The following is a 25,707-nucleotide window of genomic DNA, read 5'->3' on the forward strand; positions in this document are numbered from 1 at the left end:
CCAGATGAAAAGGATCCTGGCTGGGCAGGCGCCTCAGCAGACCCAGCCTGGGTAGCACTGTTGGATCTGGGTAGGGGTAGAGGGTGTCTCCTGGGGTGGCTGAGATCTTGGTGAGTGAGTCTGGCCCCCCAAGCCTGGACAGGAATCTGGCCCCCCAAGCCTGGACAGGGTTGTAGATGCACCGATTCGGAGGGGTTGCGTTGGAGAAGGGAGACTAGGTGTGCCTGGAAGGGGCAACCTTTAGGAGAAGGGTCGGCACCATTGCCTTCTAGGCTACAGCAAGGGTCTGAAGTGTGAGGCAGGTAGACGGGTGGGTGTGATGGACGACAAGCAGAGGTGTGGTGGGGGAGAGCATCAGAAATCCGCATTGCTCCTTTACAGCCCGGAGCAGTTTCATGAGGCCTCTGATTATCATCAGCCCCACTTTACAGATGGGAAAACAGGCTCAGAGGAGGCCAAAGACCCATCCAGGTCACACGCTTGGGTGGCACTGCTCAAGGCTAGAACCTGGACTCCAAAACCAGTGCTCATCCCACCAGGTCACAGCCAGCTGGAGCTCTTAGGCCTACTGGTTTCTCTGGGACCCTGTAGCCCCAGACCTCCAACCCCTCCCAGCCTGCTCTGTTGTGTTGAGGCTTCACAAGCGTGCAGGCTGGGAAGGGTCAAATCTCCGCAATTATCTTTCTCAGACACTATGGGAGAAACATTAAACAGGCTTGACACACTTTGAACGGCGCCTGGCACATGGTTAGTGCTCAGTAAGGGCTCAAGCATTGCCGCTGTAATTAGTCATAGCGTTGCCGCTATTGTTACCGTTCTTATTGTCAGAGCAGGACTTACGTGGGTCGGACTTGGAAAACATGTCTTTGTCCAGGAGGTTCCTGAAAGAGGGGGAGAGAGGAGGGGTTAGCACGGCCAGCTGAGAGGAGGCGACCTCAGGGGATTCAGGCTGTTACCGAGACCCAGAGGCTGCCTCTGGCCTGGCCTCAGGCAAAACAGTTCCACAATCGTTTATTAGGCTTCATTAAAAGCCAGGCACTGGGCAGGCCCTGGAGGTTCCTCAGCCCACCTGCCTAAGGTGTGCAGAACTCCCTACCTCCCACCCCTATCATCACCACAAGCACTCCGGGTAGGTGCCCTGGTCTTGGTGCCCTGTGTCGCACAGCCACTCACCATCGGGGGATTTCCGAAACTGCCCAATGTCTTAGCCCTTTCTAGAAGCTCTCCTTTAATCACTTCTCTGCTTCTCAAAAAAATAAGATAAAGCAATCAAAACATATCCACCTACTCTCCCATTTTCTCAAGGCTCTACTTACAGCCAGTTTATTCGATGGTCTCATCTGTACTGATAGATTAATGAATTACACCTCCCAGGGGAAGCCGACTCATTTGGACAAGGTCCTTCTGTGGTCAAGACCAGGGCTAACACATGGCTCTGATAATCAGACTGGACGGCACAGCAGCAAGATGATGGACACAACATTTGGGGACAGAACGGTCTTTCAACAGGTGCTAAGCTCCCCTTGTCCTGCCTCCATGCAATAAAGGCTCCCATTTACTGAGCCCCGGCGATGGGTCAGGCAGTGCGCTGTTTTACAAATATGAGCTCCCGATTCTCATGCTGCCCTACAAGGTTGATCCTAGGCAGGTATTGTCCCATCTTACAGATGTGGAAGTGGAGGGGAGAGGAGGGGAGGATGGGCAGCCTACATCCTGCACATCTGGTATCCCTCGTTTCACAGCGACCTGCTGCCATTGGGAAGCAAGACAGCCCAGTGGAAACGCAGTCTCTGGCTGGGAAGTCATTCAACCTCTCTGAGCCTGTTTCCTCATCAGTACAATGAGACGGTAGTATCAGTCTTGAAGGCTGTTGATGCCCTGCATGGATCCCCTCAGCCCTCACAGTTCCTGTACACATCCATGGTTTCCTCTTGTGTCTGTTTCTCTCCTGCGGGCTTTCTCGGGCAGGCTGTCTGCAAGGGCCAGAAAGTTTATGCTCCCAAAAGGCCGCACTCAACCAACAGGAAGGGGCTGGAGGACTGACTGCTCAGCTTCTTCACTCACCCTGGAGACAGCTCTGCTCTACAGTCTCTCCGAAGTGCCAGAGGGACTGAGCCCCAGGGGCCGCCAGGAGACCTACCCATGAACACATCCCACGCTGACCAGGTCTTCCCTTCCCTGCTTCCCCTGTAAGCTGCCAGACAAGCCCTTCCTGCCTGTGCGGCTACTCCTGCCAACACTGCCCTCAAGTCTTGGTTCTTTTCCCAACCATCTCAGCCTTGTCCCGCCTCCCTTCCGGAGGTCCCAAAGGATCTTGTCACCTTCCTTCTCTACTCCCACAACCCCCCACAGGGGCCTCTGCCCCTTGAACTGCTTTTCTGGAGAAAAGAAACAGTCAACACTGGTCTGTGTTGCTTCCCGAAAGCCAACTTCAAATATCAGAGCTAGGCCGGGTGTGGCTGCTCATGCCTGTATTCCCAGCACTTTGGGAGGCTGAGGCATGTGGATCACTTGAGGTCGGGAGTTCGAGACCAGCCTGGCCAACATGGTGAAACCCATCTCTACTAAAAATACAAAAATTAGCCCGGCATGGTGGTATGCGCCTGTAATCCCAACTACTCAGGAGCCTGAGGCAGGAGGATCACTTGAAACAGGGAGGTGGAGGTTGCAGTGAGCTGAGATCGCACCACTGCACTCCAGCCTTTTTCAAAACAACAGCAGCAGCAACAACAACAAAACAAAACAAACAAATGTCAGAGCTAGATGAGGCCCTGAGGAGGATCTGTTCCTCTTTCTCCTCCATGATGGGGACATGAAAGACCAGGGAGAGGCAAAGGGCGACCGTGGCCCACAGCAAGCAGTGGTAGAGACAGAAAAGTCTAGAAGGAGGCCTTACCCTGAGTCAGTGTCACCAAAGCCCTCGGCAGTGACAGCCTGTCGGGCAACTTGACCCCATAATCAACCCTACCACTCATGCCCCACGCCCTAAGGTGGGAGCCAAAAATCAATCAACAGATGGACAAACGCAACAGCAGCCTGAGGCCTACACATGGCATCCTCTGGTGCCTGGGGAAGCCCCAGATTGCATTCATTAATACCCCCAGCTCCAGTCCCTGAGCAGATTCCTAGAGATGCCCCCAAGAGAGGAATTCCCAAATGGCTTCAGGAAACCAGTCCCTGGAGAACTCTCACCCCTCCCCAACTCCAGTCTCTACATCCAGGGGCCACTCCCCAAAGGCAGCCACCCCCAACTGGGCCTCCCTGACCCCACAGGCAACCACCTCTCTCCTGGCCACCACTGGCCCCTCCACCAGACCAGACCTGCTCCCAGTCAGCTGTCATTTCGGAAACCATCTGATAAACCTCCCAGCCCTCCACAGAGAGCATCAGATGAACGATAAACAAGGCATCTCTGAGAAGTAGGCAGCAGGGGCTGCACGTGAGACACCACTTCTACATACAGTCATTCACACCGAGGCGGGCTGACTTCCCTGGGCCGACATTCTCATCCTGAAGTGTGCTAAGTTTGGGGGTAGGGGTGTCTATCTTGATTTAAACAAAGGACAAATGCCTTGAGACCAAAGGTGACTCTACAGTGGTGGAACCTGAGGCACAGTGAGGAGCTGAAAGTGATAAGGAGGAGGGGGACTTCTCTACTAAAGCAAGCGCTTTAGGTTTATCTTTGAATTCTATAATGAAATTCAGCAATGACATAAAATCCTCGAATGTTCAAGCTGGAGAGGACCTCAGAGGTCACCTTTCCCAACTCCTTTACAAATCAGGACTGTGAGACTCGGAAGGACAACGCTTAACTCCTCCAAGGTCTGGGTCTCCTCCAAGTGTGGCTCTAGAACTCGGATCTGGTCATATCCAGGCTAGGGAGAAAGAGAGTGAGGCCCTGGATATCAGCCTAGATACGTGTGTGTGTTTGCGTGTGTGCATGCGCATGTGTTATGGGCGGTGGGAGGGGGAGGTCTTATCCTCAAAGACAAGTAGATGGGGCTTTCCCTGGTCCTGCCCACTTCCCAGCTGGGCTAGAGGCACACAGCTAGACTAAGAAACAGAATCTAGCCACCTGGCTCCTTGCCTGGTGACCTCAAGACCCTCACCGAATCCTGGGACAAGGGTCACCCTGGCAACCAGCACCCCAGGATAAAGCAAACCCTCTCTTCCCCACTCTGCTGAAATTATTCTTGCCATCCTTCCAGACTATTCCTGTCCTTCCTCAGTTTTGCCTTTCCTGGACACTGATGGACAGCTACTTCCTCTCCTCTCCCCTGAGCTCTCTCTGGCCTGGAGTGTGCAGCCCTCTGACTCGTAGGACCCCATTACATACTCTGTACACGATCGGTTGCAAAATCATGGGTGTATCTGTCTCTCACACTGGCTGTGCATGCCTCCATGGCAGAGTTTCCCACCCTGCCACAGGCCAGCCTAGCACCTGAGTCAGAGTAGTGGCCTGGCAAGCTGGATGGATGAAGGACGACCAAAAAGAATGGCCAGATGGGTGAGCGAAGCCCGTATCTCCCCACCTGGGTGGCACACGGTCAAGCTCAGGGACGGCCCCTTGCACTTCCTCTCAGCTGTGGCATGTAGTAGTTAAGTGCATGGGCTCTGCAGTCAGACAAGCTGGGTTTGCTCACCTTGTGCCTCAGTTTCCCCATCTGTAAAGTGGGGGGTGGGGCACAGTAAAAATAGTTCAGGGCTGCTGTGGAGATTCGATATGTGGAGCACCTGGGACCTCGTCAGCCTTGTCAGACAGGTCAGCTGTCGTTGGCCCGGTGCTGAGTGGAGCCGTCACTCTCCCGGTGGATGCTCAGGCACACTTGGTGACAAGCGCAGCACAAGCAATCTCCACCCTCACAGGTCCAAGGAAGAAGCCCGCCCCCAACACACTCCCAGGGCTCCCTGCTGAGTCCCTTCCCCAGCTCAGCCCCTCTTCAGCCTCCGTTCCATTCCCCACTCTCAGCCTTGAGGACCTTCTGCCTCTCGCCTATGTCCCTGCGCCCTACACCCTCTGATCCCACACCTCGTCCACACTTGCCTCCGTCCATCCCTCTCCCTAACTGCCTGTCCAGACAGAACCCTCAGAGCCTGCTAAACCTCCTACCTTGGCTTTGGACGGGTGGCTTCACCCCGTGAACAATGGGCCTCGCACTTCTGGGGCTCACCCCTGCCCCGGGGTATAAAATGGCAGTTCCTTGGGCTCTGTTCCAAGTCTGGCTGTGTAGGTCTGAAGCAGGGCTCCAGAGGCCATGTTTATCCAAGTGGCCGCCAGAGATCCCCCTATTATGTCTCTGATGGCAGCCGTCCAAATACCACATGTTGAGACACCGTCTCTTAGGGCCTCAGTTTCCCCCGCTGCAAAGGCACAGACCACAACACACACACGTGTAGCACCAGAAGTTTCTTCGAGGTAAAGCGCCTTCCCCACTGATCCTCACCATGATCCACTGAGGACTTCCAGGCCCAGGGGCAATGAGTCACTTGCCCACAAGCACACAGCCAAAAGCCTGGGGGAGGAAACCGGGTCTTCCGCCCTGACGAAGGGCCCGAGACACCAGGGCACAGACAAGACCAGACCACAAGTACTTTTTCTCCACTTTCTTTCTTTGGAGAGCACAAAGAGAAATTTTTTTTAGCAGGAAAAACGTATTTTTTTTTTTTCTAAAAGAGCATACAACCCTTCCGCTGTCTGCACAGCAGCCTGGAGCTTGGCTTCTTTTGTTCCTTAAATCAAGGCCAGGAAGCAGAGCCAAGAGCCCCTTTCCTCCCTGCTTCCCCTTGCGGAATCATTTCCAATTCAGTGGCAGTGAGAAAATGGTCATTCATTGGGCTGTGAGGTCAGAAGTCTCCAAGGCCCCAGCAAGGACAGAAAACACTGGAAGGGCAAAATGAGAGCCCTTGGCAGGTGCTAAAGGAGGGGCCACAGGGTAACACCTCCCATCTGGGGGAGCTTAAGAAAGAAGCTGGGCACATGTAGTCTTAGCTACTCGGGACTCCAAGGAGGGAGGATCACTTGAGCTCAGGAGTTCGAGACTAGCCTCAGCAACACAGTGAGATTCCATCTCTAAAACAACAACAACAAACCAAAAAAAAAAAAAAAAAAAAAGAAAGGTATGGGTAGAGGCTGGGGTGTACCATCCGAGAGGGAGATACAACCCTGCACTCAGGGAGCCCGGTCTGACCAGGAGACATAGCCTCTGCCTCAGGGAATCCTCAGCCAGAAAGGCATATTTGCTCTTGAGCTGAGATGCTGGGTGAACTGACCATCACGCATCCCTGGTTGTCTCTAAACAAAGCCCAGAAGTGCTGCATCAATGCACTGAGCAAAGGCTTTGGCTTCAGCATAGAAAGAAACATTTTCCTGGGGCAGGACCCATAATGGAGGTCATGGGCCCCCAATAGGCAAAGTATGGCATATTGGTATATACGGATACCACATATATGGATACATTCTTCTGGAGAGCTTTCATTAGCTACCCGAAGACATTCATGAGTCTAAAAAGCTCAAGAAAAGGTGGTGTATCTTCTTCCCAACAACTCACCCTAAGCATCCGTCCAACCTTGGGGGTGAAAAGTGGGGGCATTGAGAGCATAGACTTCAAGCTTCATCTCTGAATCCAACACCCAACTCTGTCCCTTACTTGCTATATGACCTCTGGCATGTCATTTAGCTTCTCTGTGCATCAGTATTCCCATTTGTAAAGAAGGGCTAATAACAGTCCCCCCCTCCCAGGAGTTTTGTGAGATTAAACTCACATAGTAAGTTGCAATGCAGTGCCTGGCATACAATAAGTGCTCAACAAAGGCCTGTGGAGAATGAAGATGGCACCTAAGAATGCTCCATATTCCCCCCTCTCTTCTCCCTAAAGCTTGGCTTTAGCAGGACCCAAGCCCTACTACCCTTGCCCACCACTGCTGACTGGTTGCATAGCCTTCCTTGAGGAGAGAGTGGGGACAGGAGAGCCAAGGTCAGGTAGAAACGGGAATCCTGGCTGGGCTTGGTGGCTCATGCCTATAATCCCAACACTTTGGGAGGCTGAGGCAGGAGGATCACTTGAGGCCAGGAGTTTGAGACCAGTGTGGGCAACATACGGAGACCCTGTCTCTAAAAAAAATAAACAAAATTAGCCGGGTGTGGTGGTGTGTATCTGTAGTCCCAGCTACTCAAGAGGCTGGGGTGGGAGGATCTCTTGAGCCCAGGAGGTCAAGGTTGCAGTGAGCCGTGATCACACCACTGCACTCCAGCCTGGGTGACAGAGCGAGACCCTGTCTCAAAAATAAATAAATACATAAATAAAGAAACAGAAGGCTGGGCACGGTGGCTCACACCTGTAATCCCAGCACTTTGGGAGGCCAAGGTGGGTGGATCACTTGAGGTCAGGAGTTCGAGACCAGCCTGACCAATATGGTGAAACCCTGTCTCTCCTAAAAATACAAAAATTATCCAGTCATGGTGGCAGACACCTGTAGTCCCAGCTACTCGGGAGGCTGAGGCAGGAGAATCGCTTGAACCCGGGAAGCAGAGGTTGCAGTGAGCCGAGATCACGTCACTGCATTCCAGCCTGGGTGACAGAGTGTGGCTCCATCTCAAAAAAAAAAAAAAAAAAAAGTTGAGTGTAGGAATTGCAAAAAAAAAAAAAAAAAAATACCCAACAGGAATCCTGATGGTCCCACAGAGGCCCCTGAGGTACTGACCAGCGTCACCCCATTTCTGCATGGAGCAATTTGCATAAACATCTGGCAAATGGAGTGGGAGAGAGATGACACCCAACAAGTATATAATCTGTGCCAAGTCCTTTGTCATGTACTTAGCCTGTGACACTCTATTTACCCTCCATATCAACGCCAGAAAGTAGACTTTGCTCCCATTCTATAGGCAAGGCCACAGAGGCTGAGCGATGTGCCTGATGTCACCGGCTTGTCAAGAGGCATGCAGAAATGTGAACTCTGAACTCTGAAGCTCAAGCTCATTTAAAGGTGCCCTGGGGAGTGCTTGCACTACCAAAGCCAAGGACTCCCAAAGCCCCATCTGGGCCAGCAATGCTCCGTCTTATCCTCACTGTCCTGCTTCCCATCCTCAGCCTCTCGGAGCTGCTCCCAAACAAACGACTGAAGAGGAGAATGGGAGGGTTTCCCATGTCCTCCTGCCCAGCTCCCAGACCTAAAAGGCAGAAGTAATCCGAGGAAAGCAGGGCGGGAGCTGGGAGGAGAGAAGCCTTGGCACCTAGCCCCTGGCACTTACCCATCTCCCCTTTCAGATCCTGTTCTCACCCGCGTGCTCTGCTTCCCTGCCAAGCAACCTCACCAAGGTCTAAAAAGCAATTTTCACATGGCTTAAAGAGCTCTCCTTCCTGGGGCAATTTGCATTTTTATTGTTATTAATTATTGTAATAATTGTCCCTCTCACACTACATGGCCAAGGGAAAAGAGCAGGAGCTCTGGCCTCAGATGCTTCTGAGCTGGAGTCCCCACATGGCGACATGTGGCCCTGACAAGGTGCTTCATCTCAGTTTCCTCATCTGGGCATGGGGTCACATACCTGCCTGTGGAGTTGCTGTGAAGTCAACAGCTTCAAACAGAAACGTAGGAAGCACACTCAATTCCTCTCTTTCCCTTATTCCCCCTCCTGTCCCATCAGCAAGTTTTAAATGTTTCTACTTCAAAATATATCCCAGATCTGTCCACTCCTCCCCATGCCACCATCAGTATCATCTCTCACTTGGAGGCCTCAGTAGTCTTCTGCCTAGCAATGTGCTTCCATGCCTGCCTCTCTCTACCCTTCATCAGTCCCTTCTCTTCACGATGACCAGAATTCTTTTTATTTTATTTATTTTATTTTTTATTTTTTTGAGATGGAATCTCACTCTGTTGCCCAGGCTGGAGTGCAGTGGTGCAATCTCAGCTCACTGCAACCTCCGCCTCCTGGGTTCAAGCTATTCTCCTGCCTCAGCCTCCAGAGTAGCTGGGATTACAGGCACATACCACCACACCCGGCTAATTTTTGTATTTTCAGTAGAGATGTGGTTTCGCCATGTTGGCCAGACTGGTCTTGAACTCCTGACCTCAAGTGATCTGCCCATCTTGGCCTCTCAAAGTGCTGGGATTACAGGCTACAGCCACCGCACCCGGACTCTTTTTATTTTTTATTTTGAGACAGAGTCTTGCTGTCAACCAGGCTGGAGTGCAGTGGTACAATATCAGCTCACTGCAACCTCCGCCTCCCAGGTTCAAGCAATTCACCTGCCTCAGCTTCTCGAGTAGCTGGGATTACAGGCGCCCGCCACCACACCTGGCTAATTTTTGTATTTTTAATAGAAACGGGGTTTCACCATGTTGGCCAGGGAGGTGGAGGCTGCAGTGAGCAGAGATCACGCCACTGCACTCCAGGCTGGGTGACAGAGTGAGACACCATCTCAAAAAAAAAAAAAAAAAAAGGCCTCTCAATAGCAAATGAAGATCAATATCAATTATCAAATAAATGAATGTGTCAGTAGTGTTCAGTTATTGGTACCTATTACCATGATTAAACTGATTTAGCACATTACAGTTTATATAGAATGTCACAGACTTAATCTCTTTAGTCTTCAGAACAATGAAGACAGAGGATGTGGACAGGACCAGTATTTTCCACCAGTTTACAAATGGAGAAACTGAGGTTGGAGAACTTAAATAATCTGGCCAGGATCCCAGAGAAGATAAGCCAGGAGTGGCACTGACTTTCAGTGTCCTGGCCAGGATTCTTCCATACCCAAAGGTATAAAGCTGTCCTGTTGTTACTATGAGGTCTGTGTGAGGCCAGCAGAAGAGACCTTAGGGAACCTTGCAATGATTTGAAATCACACTAAGCCTTTTTATTCTTGGCTGGCAAACAGGCAGAAAGAAAGGCAGTCATGGGTTCAGTCAAGCTGTGCTTGGAGAATCAGTCACCTAACACTGTCCACTGTCCATTGACCGTAGGAAAATCTGAGGAGCAGGCCTCAGAGATGCAAATTCTAGGCTCTTGGAAAGCCTCCTTACTTTCCAAATGGCCCCATAGATGCCACGTTTGCCCATCCAGCAAACATTGCCCACTCTCTTCCTGCTGACAGAATCCACATTGTTTAGATCTGATGACGACTCCCTGAAATCCGGGAAGATGGCCCCTGTCCCTAGTCTAGGAGTGCACATGAGACCCAGCTTTGGCCCCTGAAATAGAAAGGAAAGTTTGCTGAGAGACTTTGGAAAGGATTGTACTTTCCCGGTAAAAAGAACTTTTCAGAGAGAGGACTCTGGCCTCATGCCTAGCTTCCTGTCTTTGGATGCAGTTGTGATGCCTGAAGCAGAGGCAGCCATTTTGTAACAACGAGGCCTACTGCTAAGATGATAGCAAAATACAAAGACGACTGGGTCCTTGATGATAAAGTGAGCTGACAAAGTAGCCCTGATATAACCTACCTCCAGATTCATTGTGATCTGAGAAAAATAAATGCATATCAAGTTTAAGCCACCATCAGTCAGATTTTCTGTTACCTACAGCTGAATCATTCCTACCCAAGCCTGACTCCTCTCTGCCCCAGAGCTTTCCAGCCTAATTCCCCAGCCTCCTCCCTACCCTTTCTTCCCAAGGGTAGACCATCTCGAGTATCGCCTTGAGTCTAAACAGGGTGAACTGTGAGCTGGGAAAGGAGGGATGGTAAACTACTACCGTGCGGTCTGGATGGCATCGAAGGCTGGCTTCCATCCTGTGACTTTTTGTGGTTTCTGCTCCCCAAGGATTCCTCCAGTTCTGGGTTTGCTGCTCAGAACCACAGGCAGCTGTTAGCAAGGAAGGCCTCTCCCATCCCTGGGGAGAGACTGCCTACCTTTTGGTCACACCTACCATAGTTGGTACTCAGGCCTCCACCACCATCCTCCTGGAGAACCCAACCTCCAATCTCAAGAAGCCCTCAAGGTCTTAAGTCTGAGGGAATAGGAGTTGGATCCCTCTCTCCAAAGTGTACTCACTGTGTAACCTTGGCCAAGTCCCTTCACCTCTCTGAGCCTCAATTTCCTAATCAGCAAAAAGAGAAAATACTACTATCTATCTATCCTAGTTTAAAAGACGTAGCAATTGTGATTGGCAGAAATATAAGATGGCCTCCAAGATTCCAGTCTCGTGGCACACACGTCTGTATAATCCCCTCCCCTTGAGAGTGGGCGGGACCTGGGAATATGATAGGTTAGTCACTCATGCGATTGGGTTATGATGTATAACAAAGGCGATCAGATATTCACTCTTGTGATTACAGTTACTTTACATAAGACTCTGTCATAGCAGATTAGGAGAGATTCTCCTGCTGACCTTGAAGAAATGAGCTGCCATGCTGTGAGGGGGCCATGTGGCAAGGGCCTGGGGGTGGACTCTAGGAGCTGAGAGTCACTCTGGTCCAATAACCAGGAAGAAAACAGAACTTTAATCTATCTGCTGCAAGAAATTGAATTCTGCCACCCACCGGTGAGCTTGGAGGAGGACTCAGAGCCTTGGATAAGACCACAGCCCTGCCAATACCTTGATTCCAGCCTAGTGAGACCCTGAGCAGAAAAGCCACTTTATGTCATGCCTGGACTTCTAACCTACAGAAACTAGGAAATGAGAAATGGCTGTAGTTCAAAGCCACTAAGTTTGTGGTAATTTGTCACATAGCAATTGAGAACTAATATAATAACCTTAGTTTGAAATATATAAAAGTATTATGTGAGGCCAGGTGCAGTGGCTCACACCTAATCCCAGCACTTTGAGAGGCACAGGCTGGAGGACTGCTTCAGACTAGGAGTTTGAGATCAGCCAATCAGCCTGGGCAACCGAGTATGACCTCACCTCTACAAAACAAACGAACAAAAAAAAATCAAAAAAAATTTAAAAATTAGCTAGATGTGGTGGTGTGTGTGCGCCTGTAGTCCTGGCAACTCAGGAGGCTAAGGCAGGAGGATCGCTTGAGCCCAGGAGTTGGAGGCTGCATTGAGCTGTGACTCTACCACTGCATTCCAGCTTGGGCAACAGAGACTGTATCTCAAAAAAAAAAAAAAAAAAAAAAAAGGAAGGAAGGGAGGGAGGGAGGGAGGGAGGGAGGAAGGAAGGAAAGAAAAAAAAAACAAGTTGTGTTATTTATTTGAATAGGTTAAAAACAGATGGGCTGGGTGCGGTAGCTCATGCCTGCAATCCCGGCAATTTGGAAGGCCGAGGCAGGCCGATCACCTGAGGTCAGCAGTTCAAGACCAGCCTGACCAACATGGTGAAACCCCGTCTCCAGTAAAAATACAAAACTCAGCCGGGCGTGATGGTGCATGCCTGTAATCTCAGCTACTCAAGAGGCTGAGGCAGGAGAATCGCTTGAACCCAGTAGGCAGAGGTTGCAGTGAGCCGAGATTGGGCCACTGTACTCTACCCTGGATGACAGAACGAGACTCCATCTCAAAAAAAAAAAAAAAGTTGAGTGTAGAAATTGCATACGGTTCAGCCTAATATGATGTAAAGTGCCTAGCATGCAGTAGGCACTCAGTAAATGCCACTGTTATTATTCCCCTAGCTCCACTGACCTGAGTACCTTAGTGTATTCAATGGTTAAATGGACTTCTTTTCCTAGCACTGGCTTTGACAGCTGCCGCCCTCCCCCAGGCTCCTCCCTCCCCCAAACCACCCTCTCCCTGCCTGTCAGAAGAAAGCGCTCAGAGCTGTTCACACCCCTTCTGAGAGACCCAGGGCACAGCTCCTGAGCCGGGCTGCCTCTCTGGCTCCAGGGCAACAAAACGCCAACCCGAACAGACAGCAGAAAACAATATCTCTGGGGCAGAACAACAGCTGCCCACCAGCCCCATACCAGCTGGTGGGGAGAGGGAAGCCAGCAGGGCTAAGCAATGGGCTGCTTCCAGACTCGCCCCGCCGCGTCTTCCCTGGGTCTTGGGAACCCACCATGTGGAACTGTGCATTGCTTCTCCAGCAGGACCCTGCGCAAGTGCAAAGGTTTCTTGTTATGTAAAAAATGCAAATCATTCTTTCTAACCAACATGCTGGGCCAGATCCCTGCGTGGAGACCTGAAAAATAGTGGCGCCTTTGGAGAATGGAACGTCAGACAGGTAAGTTTTGATTGACTCGGCAGGATGGCTCACACAGTCAGGAAGGGTCTAGAACAGGCCATCAGAGGAAGGAAGAGCTCTTGGCTCGAGGGAGGAGGGTCTTTAAAGTCACATTTTTTATGATGTCTACTGGTATCTAGTTCCACAAACCATCTGCCCTACTCACTTCCAAAACAACCCTTAAGAATCTCTAGATTGGCAGGGCACAGTGGCTGACGCCTGTAATCCTAGCACTTTGGGAGGCTAAGGCTGGTGGATCACCTGAGGTCAAGAGTTCGAGACCAGCCTGGCCAACATGGTGAAACCTTGTCTCTACTAAAAATACAAAAATTAGCCCTGTGTGGAGGCAGGCACCTGTAATTCCAGTTACTCAGTAGACTGAGGTAGGAGAATCACTTGAACCCAGAAAGCGGAGGTTGCAGTGAGCTGAGATCGCGCCTTTGCACTCCAGCACTCCAGCCTGGGCAACAGAGCAAAAACTCCGTCTCAAAAAAAAAAAAAAGAATCTCTAGATTGATCAGATCTCCAGGACACACACAGACCCTGGGAGCCAGCTATAGAGGCAAATTTTTATTAACTTCCAGGTATCAAATAAGCAACAACATCAGTCGCTATTCATGGATTACTTCATTTAAGCCTCATAACTGATAAGGATCATTATGCTTTCTTTACAGATGGGGAAACTGAGGCATAGACAGCTTAGTAGCTTACCCAAGGTCATAGGAAGAGAGCTGGGATTTGAAACCAAGGAGACAGATTCCAGGGCTCACATTCATAACCGTTGTGCCAAATAACCAAAGGCTTTCTAATCTTGGGCCCTGAGTTTACCACAGTCAGTAAAAATAATTGTTTGGGAGTATAGTATACTCTACCTGAAGCAGGGGCCTGAAACTGTCCATCCCCAGTGTCATTTGCCTTCAGTGGAGACTTGGCCCCGTGGTGGCCCTGTGCTCTGACTCAGATGTGCACCTGTGCCAGGCAGCTTTGCTTAGCTAGCTGAGCCCTAGGATGGGCACAGCAGGTGCAGGATCCTCCCCTAGGCACAGAGCAGAAGAAGGCTCTGTGGTAGGGGAGTGGTAGGCCCCTTCATGAGGAGGAAGGCAAGTGGAAACAAGTGTTCCTGGGAGCCAGAGGTGGCAACTCATAATCTTCCCTGAAACATTGGCCCCTCTACCCCAGCTGCCCATCCTGAAACCCCCTGGAGTTCTCACCTGCCAGCCCCTCTGCCTGCCCTACTGTTCTGGGCCCACCAGCAGGTGTCACTCAGATGCCCAGGGCAGAGCCTCCCCAGAGCCTCCTCTCCTGGAGCCCTGAGAGCGGGTGCAGTGGGGAGGGACTTGACTTTAACTGGCGACCATGGAGTGAAGAATATGCTGGAGAAAGCCACTGTCTGCATTTCTCCCTCCTCCCTGTGCTCCTCTCCTCCTCCTTTTCCTCCTCCTCTTTCTCTCTGTTCTAGAACCTGAATAGTTGGGCCTGGCTGAGGCAGAGAGATGCATCTACAATTTCCAGGCCACCCAGACTGTTTTCTCACCTCCCCTCTGTTCTAAGTGACTGCTCCCTCCTCATCTCTCCCCACCAAAACCCACTTCCCCCCACCTCTGGCTTTCTGGAGAACATGAGCAGGCCCCAGGTCAGGGCCTTCCTCAGCTCATGGATCATGTCCCCCAAAAGGGTATTGACCCAGGGTCAGCCCCAGAACCACATCCCCCAGGAAGGCCTCTTATGCAAGAGGTTTGAGTCCTTTGGACATCTTTACTTCCAGAAAGCAAACAGGAGGGGCCAGGTGCTACCGCCTTCCGGTGATCATTGTAGCTACTTATTGAGCACCTACTGTGTGCCAAGCAAGTGCAAAGTAGCTTGCTAGGTGCTTCATGCTCCTCCACTCCTGCAAGTTAATTCCTCCAACAGTATTTGGCAAGTGCCAGGCACTGCTCTAAGCACATGAGCTACCTTGGTGAACAAGGTTTCTCCATGAGTACATGCTGCTTATTGTTTGTACCTGACAGGTGGGGGAAACTGAGGCTTAAAATTTGCCCCAAGTGGTGAAGCAGAGATTCTGTTTCAAGGTATCTGACTCCAAAGCCACACTATCTGCCCTCCATCTCCTTTCCTCTCCACTGGAGTAGAGGGTGCATGGGTCTGACTCAGGGTGGGAATCCCTGCCCTCAAATGCTTACACAGTTGCTTTGAGAGGGGAGGGATGACGTCTGCACACCTGAGACGTCTCAAGAGGTTTCATCCTCAGTATGTGAGTGACCCTGTGGCCCAGGCTGAGTACCTAGGGCCCACGGGACACAGAAGACAATGATTTGAGCTGTGTGTCTCATGGGTGAGAGGATGCCTGAAAGTGGGGAGCGTGAGGCCAGGCTTTTCAGGAGTGGGGGGATCATGAACTTGGGGAGATAAAGGAAGAGTGAAATCTGGATGGGGAATGGGCTGTTCAGAGGCTTGGAGGTGGGAAGGATCCCAAGACAACTGAAGATGACAGGCATGATTGAAGGCTGGGAGGGAGTGCCAGGCGCAGGGATGTGCGTGCAGGAGAAGGGTGGGGAGGCCGTGCTGCTTTTGATGGCTGAGGAGGTGAGACTGGAGCTAATGGGCCATCAGGAATCTCCCAGCAGAGTAATGACAAGATGCAAATGGCGTTGGGAGATGATCCTGACGGCATGGTGTATGGGACCTGGGAGCTATCACAGGAGCCCCCAGAGGGCCTGGCTTAGGGGGGAAGCTACGTTCAACCAGACTAGCCTTCACTGCCACTTATCCCCAAGTCTTCAAGAGAAAGTCACACTGAGTCCTTCCCTCCTTCACGCCCCTGCCCAGACTCTCCAGCTCTACCTACACCTCATCAATGCCACAACTTTGTAATACAGGACTGGGGGGCAACAAGGTTACCTCTCATGGAGGGTCTGACCAAGGAGCAACCTGGAAGAGGATGAGATGGGTGATTTCGAACAAGGGCACAGCCAGGGCTCCAGAAATGCTGTCGGTGATCTGGGGCAGGGGGCATGGCCTCTGTGGGGGAACCTCAAAGTGGGTGATGCTTGCGTGGCAGCACATGATCCTAGGCCAGCCACAGAGAGACTGAACTAGGGAAAAATCCCCCTTTGCCACCCATACCCTCTTACTGCCAGGGGCAGCCTTCCCCTAGCTAGGAGAACCTGGGGTCGACCCAGCTCTTAGACAGAGAAGTTACCCCCAAACCCTGTGTGACATGAGTGAAGATTTGGGCGTGGTAGCCCACAAAAATATTCCCCCTCCTCCTCTGTTGGACTCTACAGTTTCACAATCAGTGTTCTATTCCTTTGGCTTAAGATTTTTGACCCAAGTTATTTTTTTAATGGTGCCACTTTAAGTTGTTATCATGTATCCACACCTTAGTATGAATGAGTCAATCTGATCCTTTTCCAGGAGTCGATTTCGTTGTTGATAGAGATGAAGGAAGGCTTTAAAATCCTAGAGTCTAGGACAGTGGGGTGGGGGAGACTGGTGAGGGGAGGATCAGGATGCTGGGGCAAAGAAGGGGCAAAGAGAGAAGAGAGGAGGGCACAGAAGGGAGAGGGTGGACGAGCCTGGGAGGGATGGGGGCAAATCACTCACTTCGTGATTTGGGGATGGGGTGATCAGAGATAGCCTGAGCAGAGACCGTAGTACAGCCTTTTACCAACTCCCTCTCCCCACTTGGGTGCCTGGACCCCCTGTTCCTGTGTCTTCATATCTCCTCGATGCAACAGCCTGGAGCGCAAACTTTCTGGGATATGACCCCAGCCTGGCTTCCTATTCTGCCGTCGCCACCCGCAGCTGGACAGGACAGGGGCTCTTGGCAGATCGGCAGGGGCGCAGTCCTGGAGACCAGGACACTCTGGGAAGGGGGCGCGCGGAGGTTTAGGATCGAAGCGGCAGGGGCCGCGGGGCTCTGCGTCCAGGGCCGGGGCAAGGGGACCCGGCCAGCGGGAGGCTCACCTGCAGGACACGGTGATCTCCACCTTGGTGGCCGGGATGCTGCCCGCCAAGGAGTCGAACTCGCTCAGCGACGCCATGTCCTCAGGCTGCTCCATCGCCCACCGCACCCCCCACCCCAAATTAGTCAATCCCTGCGCGATTCACGCCTCCTCCGGAGCGACTGGAGCCCTGGGCTCTCCCCCAACTCCAGAGCCTGGGCTGGGCGGCAAGGGGAGGAGAGAGGAGCGCGAAGAGGGGGCGTGGGAAGTGAGAGAGGGAAGAGGGCGGAGGGAGCGGGGGCCGCGGATCGAGGAGGGGGCTCGGGTGACGCCGCGAGGAGGCTAGGGGCCCAGTGGGGAAGGGCAAGGAGCCCAGGGAGCGGGGGCACAGCGGGGAAGGCAGAGAGGGGCGCGGGGAGAGGGGCTCGGGGAGAGGGCACCGGGAGGGAAACGCGGAGTCGTGGAGAGGGGCACCAGGAGAGGGACGCGCGTCTGTGGGCAGAGGTAGAGGGGATGCAGAAGACAGGGAGAGGGGCGTGAGGAGCGGGAGGCGCCGGATGGGGCGCTGGCGGCGGGGGTGGCGGGGCGCCGGCAGCGCGGAGCCCGAGCGCCCGGGCTGCGCCGCCTCTCCCTGGGTCTTGGCGCCGGCGGCGACGGGGCTGAGACGCGGCTGCGAGCGCCACCTCCTCGGCTCGGGCTTCGGCTCCGGGGCGCCCGGGCTGCGGGAAAATCAAATCTGCCCGAAGCCGCAGCCTCCCGCCGCCCGGGAACGCCAGAGGGGGCGCCCGCAGGGGCCGGGGCGGGGCCGCGGGCGGGGTCTGCGCGCAGGGTGAGTGTGAGCGTGTGTGTGTGCGCGTGTGTGTGTGTGTGCGCGCGTGGCGGGCCGGGGGACGCGGTCCAGATGCTGGGGACGTGGCGGGTGACAGCAAGAGGTGGTCCTGGTCGCGCGCATCTTCATTTGCGCCCGCCCCCTCTCACCACCCCTATCTCCCATCAGGGGTCTCCATCCTGGGGGAGGGGGAGGGTTATGGGAACCAACGGGCGCCTTTTTGAGAAAGGTCTATGCAGGGTTGAGAGGGGGCATAAGTGGGAGGGAGGTGTGCAAAAAAGATCCCCTCCCAGGGGCTTGGGTGTGGAGGGTCTCTGCTGAGTGTGCGCCCTACTCGGGGGCGGGTCTCAGTTCAGAAACAGACCCTACATCTCCTTCTGGGGAGGTGTGTGGGGGCGACCCCAGTGCCAGGAGGGACTACCTCGGTTTCCCAGTGGCCCAGGTGGGGTCGGTGCATGGGCGCCTCCCCCATCCGTGGTTCCCGCCAGCCGCGGCCTCGCCAAGTCGGCTGCCGAAACCACGCGCCAGCGCCCTTCCACTCCCCCGCCCGTCGTGACCACACGACTGAGCCAGCCTCCAGGTCTAGAAGCTCCTGCCACCCAGTCTGGTGGCAACCAGACTGGGAGATCGGCCCGAGCTCCCTGGGCTTCTATGCAGCCAGCACCGAGTAGGCGCGTGCTGTGTGCCTGGCGAGCGAGGGGAGAGTTGGGACACCTCTCCTGCAGTCCTCTTCCCAGCCAAGCCCCTCGCGATCCCCCGCCCTAGCCCAGCCTTGCCCTCCCGGGCATGAGGTTGCAGCGCAGAGGCGTCTCCCTGAGTAAGGCTGCACACGTAGACTTGACTCTAGCCCATCCTCAGCCTCAGCCTAAGCTTTGCCGAGCTGGAACCTCCACTTCCTCGCCCACCGCCTGGCACATCGAAGCCGATGTGCCTCGGGCCGGCGGGGAGGCCAAAAACCTGGTGCTGGGCTGGGCAGAGTTGCGCTCTCTGGGCCTTGTTTGTGGCAGCGGGACCATAAGGGGCTCCTCCGGATTCTGTTTGAAGTCAATTCCTGGAACATCAGATACTGTCAGTCAAAGATAAATACAAGAACACATTCCTCTGCCTGTTACAATTTCCCCATGGCTCAGAATCAGCTGGACTGGGTTCTGCCTCCTGGAACAGGCAGCAAGGGACAGAGGCTGTTAATTCCCCTGACAGCCAGGCACAGCTGGGTCAGGAGGCCCCACTCCAAGGAGAATAATTCTGTCTTCCCTTCCTGAGGATGCAAAACTGAACTCGGAATCTCTATGTTCCCCATCCCCCACATACCTGGCATAAACAATGCTCAAAGCATGCTTGTGGAATATGTTCTCCATTCATTCCAGGAGTGTTTACTGAGCATCTGCTGTGTGCCTGGCCCAGTGACAGGGCCTTGGGAAACCTTGTTCATAACAATAATTAGCATCGTTTTATTTTCAAAGATCTGGGCCAGACACCATGCTTACTTTTTTTTTTTGAAATATTAGTCACATACCATAAAATTACCATTTTAAGTTGTATAAATCAGCGGTTTGTAGCATATTCACAGGGACCGTGCATGATTTTAAATTCTCAAAATAATTTTATAAGTGAGATATTATTACTTTTAATGGGAAAAGCTGCAGTTACTTTGCACCAACCTAATATTATCTACATTTAATAAGTAAGGAAGCCAGTGCCCAGAGAGGCTAAGTAACTTACTCATCATCACCCAGCTGGGGACTGGCATAGTGAGAATGTGAAACAAGGCAGTTGAGACCAAAGCCTGACTCTGAGCAAGAGGCTCCACTCTCTTTTAGGATAGGGCCAGACGATGGAAAATCATCCATGAAATGAGGCCTTGTTGGGAAAGGCAACAATAGGGAGCCATTGCAGGTTGTTGAGCAGGTGAGTAGTAAGATTGAAGTTCTACCCAGTAACCTTGCAAAGTGACAGCATTTGGAGTAGCAGCCCCAGGGTCTCTTGTAGACACTTGTCTGTGTCACTCCATTCCCTTTTAGTCGTTGCACTTTCACTGCTGGCTATTTGGCAAAAAAAAAAAAAAAAAAAAAGAAAAAGAAAAAAGAAAAGAAAAGAAAAGAAAAAGAAAAAAGAAAAAAATGTATATATATGACACATGCTGTGTGCTGGGTGCAGTCCTAGGCTCAGAGAATAAAAGGCAAAAAGGACACAGTATCTATCCCCAAAGAGTTCCCAGGCTACTGGGAGCCCCAGGACATGAAGAGAGAGAAACCACAGTGCAGCATGAGGAATGCGGTTGAGGTAGGTAGAAAGGGCTCTGGGAGGCCGGGCACAGTGGCTCACGCCTGTAATCCCAGCACTTTGGGAGGCTGAGGCAGATGGATCACTTGAGGTCAGGAGTTTGAGACCAGCCTGGCCAACATAGTGAAACCTCGTCTCTACCAAAAATACAAAAAAATTAGCTGGGCCTGGTGGCAGGTGCCTGTAATCCCAGCTACTTGGGAGGCTCAGGTGGGAGAACTGCTTGAACCTGGGAGGCAGAGGTTGCAGTGAGCCGAGATCGCACCACTGCACTCCAGCCTGGGCGACAGAGCGAGACTCCATCTCAAAAAAAAAAAAAAACAAAAAAACGGCTCTGGGAGAAGAGTGACCAATGGTTCTGCCCCAGGAACAGGAAGAAGGGAGGGTCAGGGTCAGGGGAAACTGCAAAAAGGAAGTGATACTGAGATGGACATTGAGGTGATGTCTTAGAAGTTTGTTTCCCCTAGAAGCTGACCCTGAGACAAAGATTTGTATGTGAGTAGTACATTTGGGAGGTGTCTTGGTCTGTTCCTGCTGCTATAACAAAATTATTTAGCCTGAGTAATTTAATAATAATAGAAATGTATTTCTCACACTTCTGGAGGCTGAGAAGTTCAAGATCAAGGTGCCGGCAGGTATGGTGTCTGGTGAGGGCCAGGTCTCTGCTTCCAAGATGGTCCTTGTTGCTGTGTCCTCCAGAGGGGCAAACACTTCCTCACTTGGTGGAAGGCAGAAGGGCAAAAAGGGGCCTAGCTCAGGGATAATGCCTTTCATAAGGGCATTAATCCATTCATGAGGGCAGAGGTGAGACGGGGAAGGGAAGGTAGACAATAAAAGGTGCTTTATCAAGCCAGTCATCACTACAGGCAACTAGGGTATAGTCCTGCTGCAGAACTCTGGGAGACTGTAGAACGCATTTCAAACTTAGGCTGCCAGAGGGGTGAGGAAGCTGGGATATGTTTATACCAACTTCTGCCAGTCATTGGCTCAGTGGCTGAGGGCTGCTTTTGGAGGGTATTAATTTCCTGGCACTTCTGGCCTAACCAGCACAGAGAGGCCAATGCAGGTTCCAGAAGCCAGAGAAAGCCTTAGGCAAAGAAAGGCAGTCGGGTGTGGGACTGGAGCACACTGAAGTGGGAAAAGTTAGAGGCTGCAGTGGGCACTGGCAAGGCAGCGGCTGCTACAGATGATGAGCTTCTGCCTGGAGGACAAGGCTGTGCAGGCATTCCTGGCAGGGGACTAGCATGAGGAAGGGCCAGAGATCTGCGACTGGGGGCTGTAGTGTGGCTGGAGCACAGGGTCAGGGTTGGTGGAGGTAGAATATGAGGCCAGGAGGCGATGGGCCATGATGCAAGGCCACAGCCTCCGCTGGGCACAGAGGCTTTTCAGAAGGGGACACTGGAGGAGGGGTGGTCTGAAGGACACCCTCCCGCTGCATGGCCAACCAGAACGTAAAACTTACTGATCAGGAGCTGGGTGCAGTGGCTCAAGTCTGTAATCTCAGCACTTTGGGAGGCTGAGGTAGGTGGATCACCTGATGTCAGGAGTTTGAGACCAGCCTGGCCAACATGACAAAACCCTGTCTCTACTAAAAATACAAAAAAAATTAGCCTGGCGTGGTGGTGCGGGCCTGTAATCCCAGCTACTTAGGAGGCTGAGGCAGGAGAATTGCTTGAACCTGGGAGGTGGAGGTTGTAGTGAGCTGAGATTGCGCCAGTGCACTCCAGCCTGGGCGACAGAGTGAGACTCTGTCTCAAAAAGCAAAACAAAACAAACAAACAAACAAACAAAAGAAAACAAACAAACAAACAAAAAACAAAAAAAAGCAACTTACTGATCAGGCCCAGGGGAAAAATGCTCCCAGCTCTTGCTCAAATGAATTGCTGATAGTTCAAAAGCAGCCCCACAGATGTTGCCGTTGGAGGAGTTGTTTCTTCTTTGAGAGATATGATAGTGCCGAGTAACCCTGGTCACTTGTGATGTCCAGGCAGGCCAGTGCGTGGGCTGGCAGGTGCTGCAGACGTGCCGTCTGTGCCTGGCAGCCAGATTAGAAACAACCATGGCCCTGGCCCACCCGCCACATAACTACCACTCGTCCCTCTGATTAAGAACGTCAAGCACGGAATGGGCCATGCCCAGAAGATCTGGAATAATCAGCATCAGCGTTTTGCCTTTGCCATCCAAGACTGCAAACATGCTCTCATCTGACCTAATCCACGGTGTTAATGACGGCAGAGCAATTTTGAGAGGCAACTCACAGCATTGATAAGGAGGGGAAAAGCACCACCGGGCTTAGGGGGCAGAGCTCCTCACAGAAGAGACAGCTGCTGTCCCCTCACCCCTCCCAAAGCACTACTTGTAAATGCTGCCCTCCTCTCCCCGTTTGAGGCTGGGGATGGTGGGAGAAAAGGGCACAGAAGAGCAGAAGCGGGGTTGTGCAGGGGACAGGAAAGTAGGGCTGCCCATGCTGCACCTAGAACAAACTAGAAAAAGGCATTCTCTACTGTGGGTAAATGCAACCTTGAGTCAGGCAGGACACAAGGTTTTCTGGACAGAATGTGAGCTGGACTGAGCCCCCACTCACGCCCTTGGCTGGGTGCCCTTGTGCACTAAACACCCTGCACCACTATTCATTGTAGCCCCGGGGAGAGAAGGAAAGACAAGGCATGGCAGGAACTGAAACCGTCATCGGAGTAGAGAGGCAGGGGAGATGCAGTGTCTGATTCCTCCCATTAATAGAAATCCTAGAAGGGGCTTGGTTGGAGACCATCCAGGTAAAACCCCTTCTTTTACTGAAAAGCTTAAAGAGGAAGAGTGATGGAATCAAGGTCATCCGACTCTTCCCTTGATAAGAAACTCCATGAATAACAGTGAGGCCAGGTACCCAAGAGCAATGAGGACCTGACTCCAAAGGTGTGGCAAGAGGCGAGCCATGGGACTCTCCATGTCGCCAGTCCCTCATTCCTGCTGGAAGGGTGGCAGCCTCCCTGCTTAATGCCCCACCATCCCAACCAGAGCCCATGTTGCCCCTCCCTTCCGCCATGTCACAGTGCCAGCTAGCTCAGTCCATGTTGCATCTGGGCAAGAAGCCCCATGGCCCTCCTGCCGCCAGCCCAGTAGCCCTTTCTGCCCCCAGGATCCACCCCTCCACCCTGCCTGGCCCTGGCATCTGTCTGCAACCTGGTGGGCACCAGCTCCCTGCTCACTTCTCTTGGCCTCCTCTTCCTTCCAGCCACTCCTGCTTTTCCAAGTAAGGGAGGCCCCCCATGCTTACAGTCTAGATACCAGAACCTTCACAGCAACCAGAGGATCCACTTAAAAGCAAGGTCAGGTCGTGTCGCTCCTCTGCTTAAGACCCTCCCCTGGCTCCCATCTCATTCTACGGAAAAAGGACTTGCTGGGCTTTGGGCTCTGCTCGTGACCTGACTTCATCTCCTCTCTCGCCCTGGCACTGACTCCATTCCAGCCACACTGGCCCCTCACTGGCCCTGCAGGCACCTGCCTCAGGGCCTTTCTATTTGCTACTCCCTCAGCCCGGACCACTCTCCCCTGGGTCCCTGAGGCCCCTCAGGTCTCTGCCTCAATGCCCTCTCCTTGAAGAGGCTTTCCTGGTCACACTACCCAACATAGTACCACGTTGCTCTCACTCCCCTTACGCGCCTTTATTTTTCTTCATAGCATGATCCTTGCCTGTTTCCCCCACTAGGATAGAAGCTTTCTGCAGGCAAGGACTTTGTCTTGTTCATTGTTGCATCCCAAGCCCCTAGGGCAGGGCCTGACACATGGTAGGTGCCCCGTTTGTGAGGTGACTATGTCCAAATCCACTGTTGGCCTCCAAAACAGTGACTCCTTCATGAGGACCCCTGGTGAGCACGTGTCAGTCTCAGACAGGGCCTGAATCTCCCCCACTACACACATTTCTTATCTATCTCCCCACTCCTAAACATTTATTCAGCATCTGTCATGAATTGAGCTGTTTACTTGTTGTTTGACAACTATCACATTGTGACTTTCTGGGCCCCTGGGCCAATACCACAGAGAAGGGAAGGGATTTTTATGTGTTTACTAAGGACTCACCATGCAATAAGCATGTAAGAATTTAACATCCATCACTTATTTATTTATTTATTTATTTATTTATTTATTTATTTGAGATGGAGTCTCGCTCTGTCACCCAGGCTGGAGTGCAGTGGCGCGGTCTCGGCTCACCGCAAGCTCCGCCTCCTGGGATCACGCCATTCTCCTGCCTCAGCCTTCCGAGTAGCTGGAACTACAGGTGCCCGCCTCCACGCCTGGCTAATTTTTTGTATTTTTAGTAGAGACAGGGTTTCACCGTGTTAGGCAGGATTGTCTCGATCTCCTGACCTCGTGATCCGCCCGCCTCGGCCTCCCAAAGTGCTGGGATTACAGGTGTGAGCCACCGCACCCGGCCTATTTATTTATTTTTAAAATTTATTTATTTATTTATTTATTTATTTTTTGGACGGAGTCTTGCTCTGTCACCCAGACTAAAGTGCAGTGGCGTGATCTCAGCTCACTGCAACCTACACCTCCCAGGTTCAAGCAATTCTCCTGCCTCAGCCTCCTGAGTAGCTGGGACTACAGGCGCCCGCCACCATGCCTGGCTAATTTTTTGTATTTTTAGTAGAGACGGGGTTTCACCACGTTAGCCAGGCTGGTCTCAATCTCCTGACCTCGTGATCCACCTGCCTCAGCCTCCCAAAGTGCTGGGATTACAGGCGTGAGCCACCGTACCCGACCTTATTTTTTAAATTGAATTTAATGTTTTAAAGACAAGATCTCACTATGTTGCCCAGGTTGGTCTTAAACTCCTGGCCTCAAGCAATCCTCCTGCCTCGGCCTCCCAAAGTGCTGGGATTACAGATGTGAGTCACCACGCCTGGCCTCCATCACATATTTAATCCTCACAATAAGCTCATTATCCCACTTAACAAAACTGTACTCCTCTGTACCATGTGCTGTGCATAGTTCACCATGAGGGAGAGAGAGAAGAGGGAGACACAGTCTCCTTAGAAGCTCAGTCCAGTGGGGTTACAGCGTAAATTTTGAGTTTATGTTCTGGGAAATATGTAGGAGAATAATGGGCATTATTTGCTCCATCTTTTCAGATAAGGACACTAAGGCCCAAAGTAGTTCGGTAATTTAATTTGCCCAAACTCACACAGGTCAGTGGCAGAGACAGGGTGCAAACCTAGAACAATGTATGACCAAAGCTGCTGTCTTTGCTCCTTAGGACAGTGCCTCTGCTCCCTGACCTGACTCAGGGGCCTGTCCAGAAGCCTCAGCCTCTGCCATGGCCCAGGCCCAGATCTGAGCCCCTCACACGTCTGCAGTGCCTAGCCCAGCACCACAAGATCTGTGCCCAGGCTGTGACCCTTCCACTCTTCACTATGTCCAAGTGTAGACATCCCAGTCTGTAACCTCCCCCACTCCTGCCCTCATACACATTTAACCCAATATTTAGCTTAATATTGTCAGTCATGGGATTAGAGGCCTCAGTCCTGCAAAGGACTTTAAAGATAATCCAACTC

The 25,707-nt window shown here is 52.3% G+C and overlaps 1 protein-coding gene across 14 annotated transcripts in view, besides 4 other annotated features; it reads right to left on the minus strand.

Annotated features, from left to right (window-relative positions):
• The window catches only part of CPNE5 (copine 5), a 99,224-nt gene extending 81,443 nt beyond the window's left edge, over nucleotides 1-17,781 (minus strand). For 9 of the 14 annotated variants that reach the window (XR_007059285.1, NM_020939.2, NM_001410887.1 and 6 more), the window contains exons 1-2: nucleotides 17,066-17,227; nucleotides 841-881 (exon numbers count right to left, since the gene is read on the minus strand). Coding sequence is in view for 12 of the 14 variants with exons in the window: in NM_020939.2 (NP_065990.1) it covers nucleotides 841-881; nucleotides 17,066-17,160 (136 nt within the window). In the remaining 2 variants the exon portion in view is untranslated. Of the gene's footprint in view, nucleotides 1-840; nucleotides 882-1,173; nucleotides 1,244-5,110; nucleotides 5,228-16,478; nucleotides 16,566-17,065 lie in introns of those variants that run through there. The other 5 variants (NR_164866.1, NM_001376889.1, XM_047419190.1 and 2 more) reach the window with 4 other exon arrangements.
• Nucleotides 3,296-3,590: a silencer, noted in NCBI's record as "tiled region #12831; HepG2 Repressive non-DNase unmatched - State 20:ReprD, and K562 Repressive DNase matched - State 8:EnhW". NCBI's record gives its function as "represses a minimal TATA promoter and a strong SV40 promoter by Sharpr-MPRA in HepG2 and K562 cells {active_cell/tissue: HepG2 | K562}" and the evidence as "EXISTENCE:reporter gene assay evidence [ECO:0000049][PMID:27701403]".
• Nucleotides 17,691-17,900: a silencer, noted in NCBI's record as "silent region_17121". NCBI's record gives its function as "represses an Ori minimal core promoter by ATAC-STARR-seq in GM12878 lymphoblastoid cells {active_cell/tissue: GM12878}" and the evidence as "EXISTENCE:reporter gene assay evidence [ECO:0000049][PMID:35858748]".
• Nucleotides 18,585-19,135: an enhancer, noted in NCBI's record as "H3K4me1 hESC enhancer chr6:36808578-36809128 (GRCh37/hg19 assembly coordinates)". NCBI's record gives its function as "activates a minimal SCP1, AML or CMV promoter by ChIP-STARR-seq in primed H9 embryonic stem cells {active_cell/tissue: H9 hESC(primed)}" and the evidence as "EXISTENCE:reporter gene assay evidence [ECO:0000049][PMID:30033119]".
• Nucleotides 24,027-24,196: an enhancer, noted in NCBI's record as "experimental_91463 CRE fragment used in MPRA reporter constructs". NCBI's record gives its function as "activates a minimal promoter by MPRAs in K562 erythroleukemia cells, with activity observed for both the introgressed and non-introgressed 6:36814105 variant alleles {active_cell/tissue: K562}" and the evidence as "EXISTENCE:reporter gene assay evidence [ECO:0000049][PMID:34662402]".

The sequence above is a fragment of the Homo sapiens genome, chromosome 6 (genome assembly GCF_000001405.40).
Source record: "Homo sapiens chromosome 6, GRCh38.p14 Primary Assembly".
Classification (NCBI taxonomy): Eukaryota; Metazoa; Chordata; class Mammalia; order Primates; family Hominidae; genus Homo; species Homo sapiens.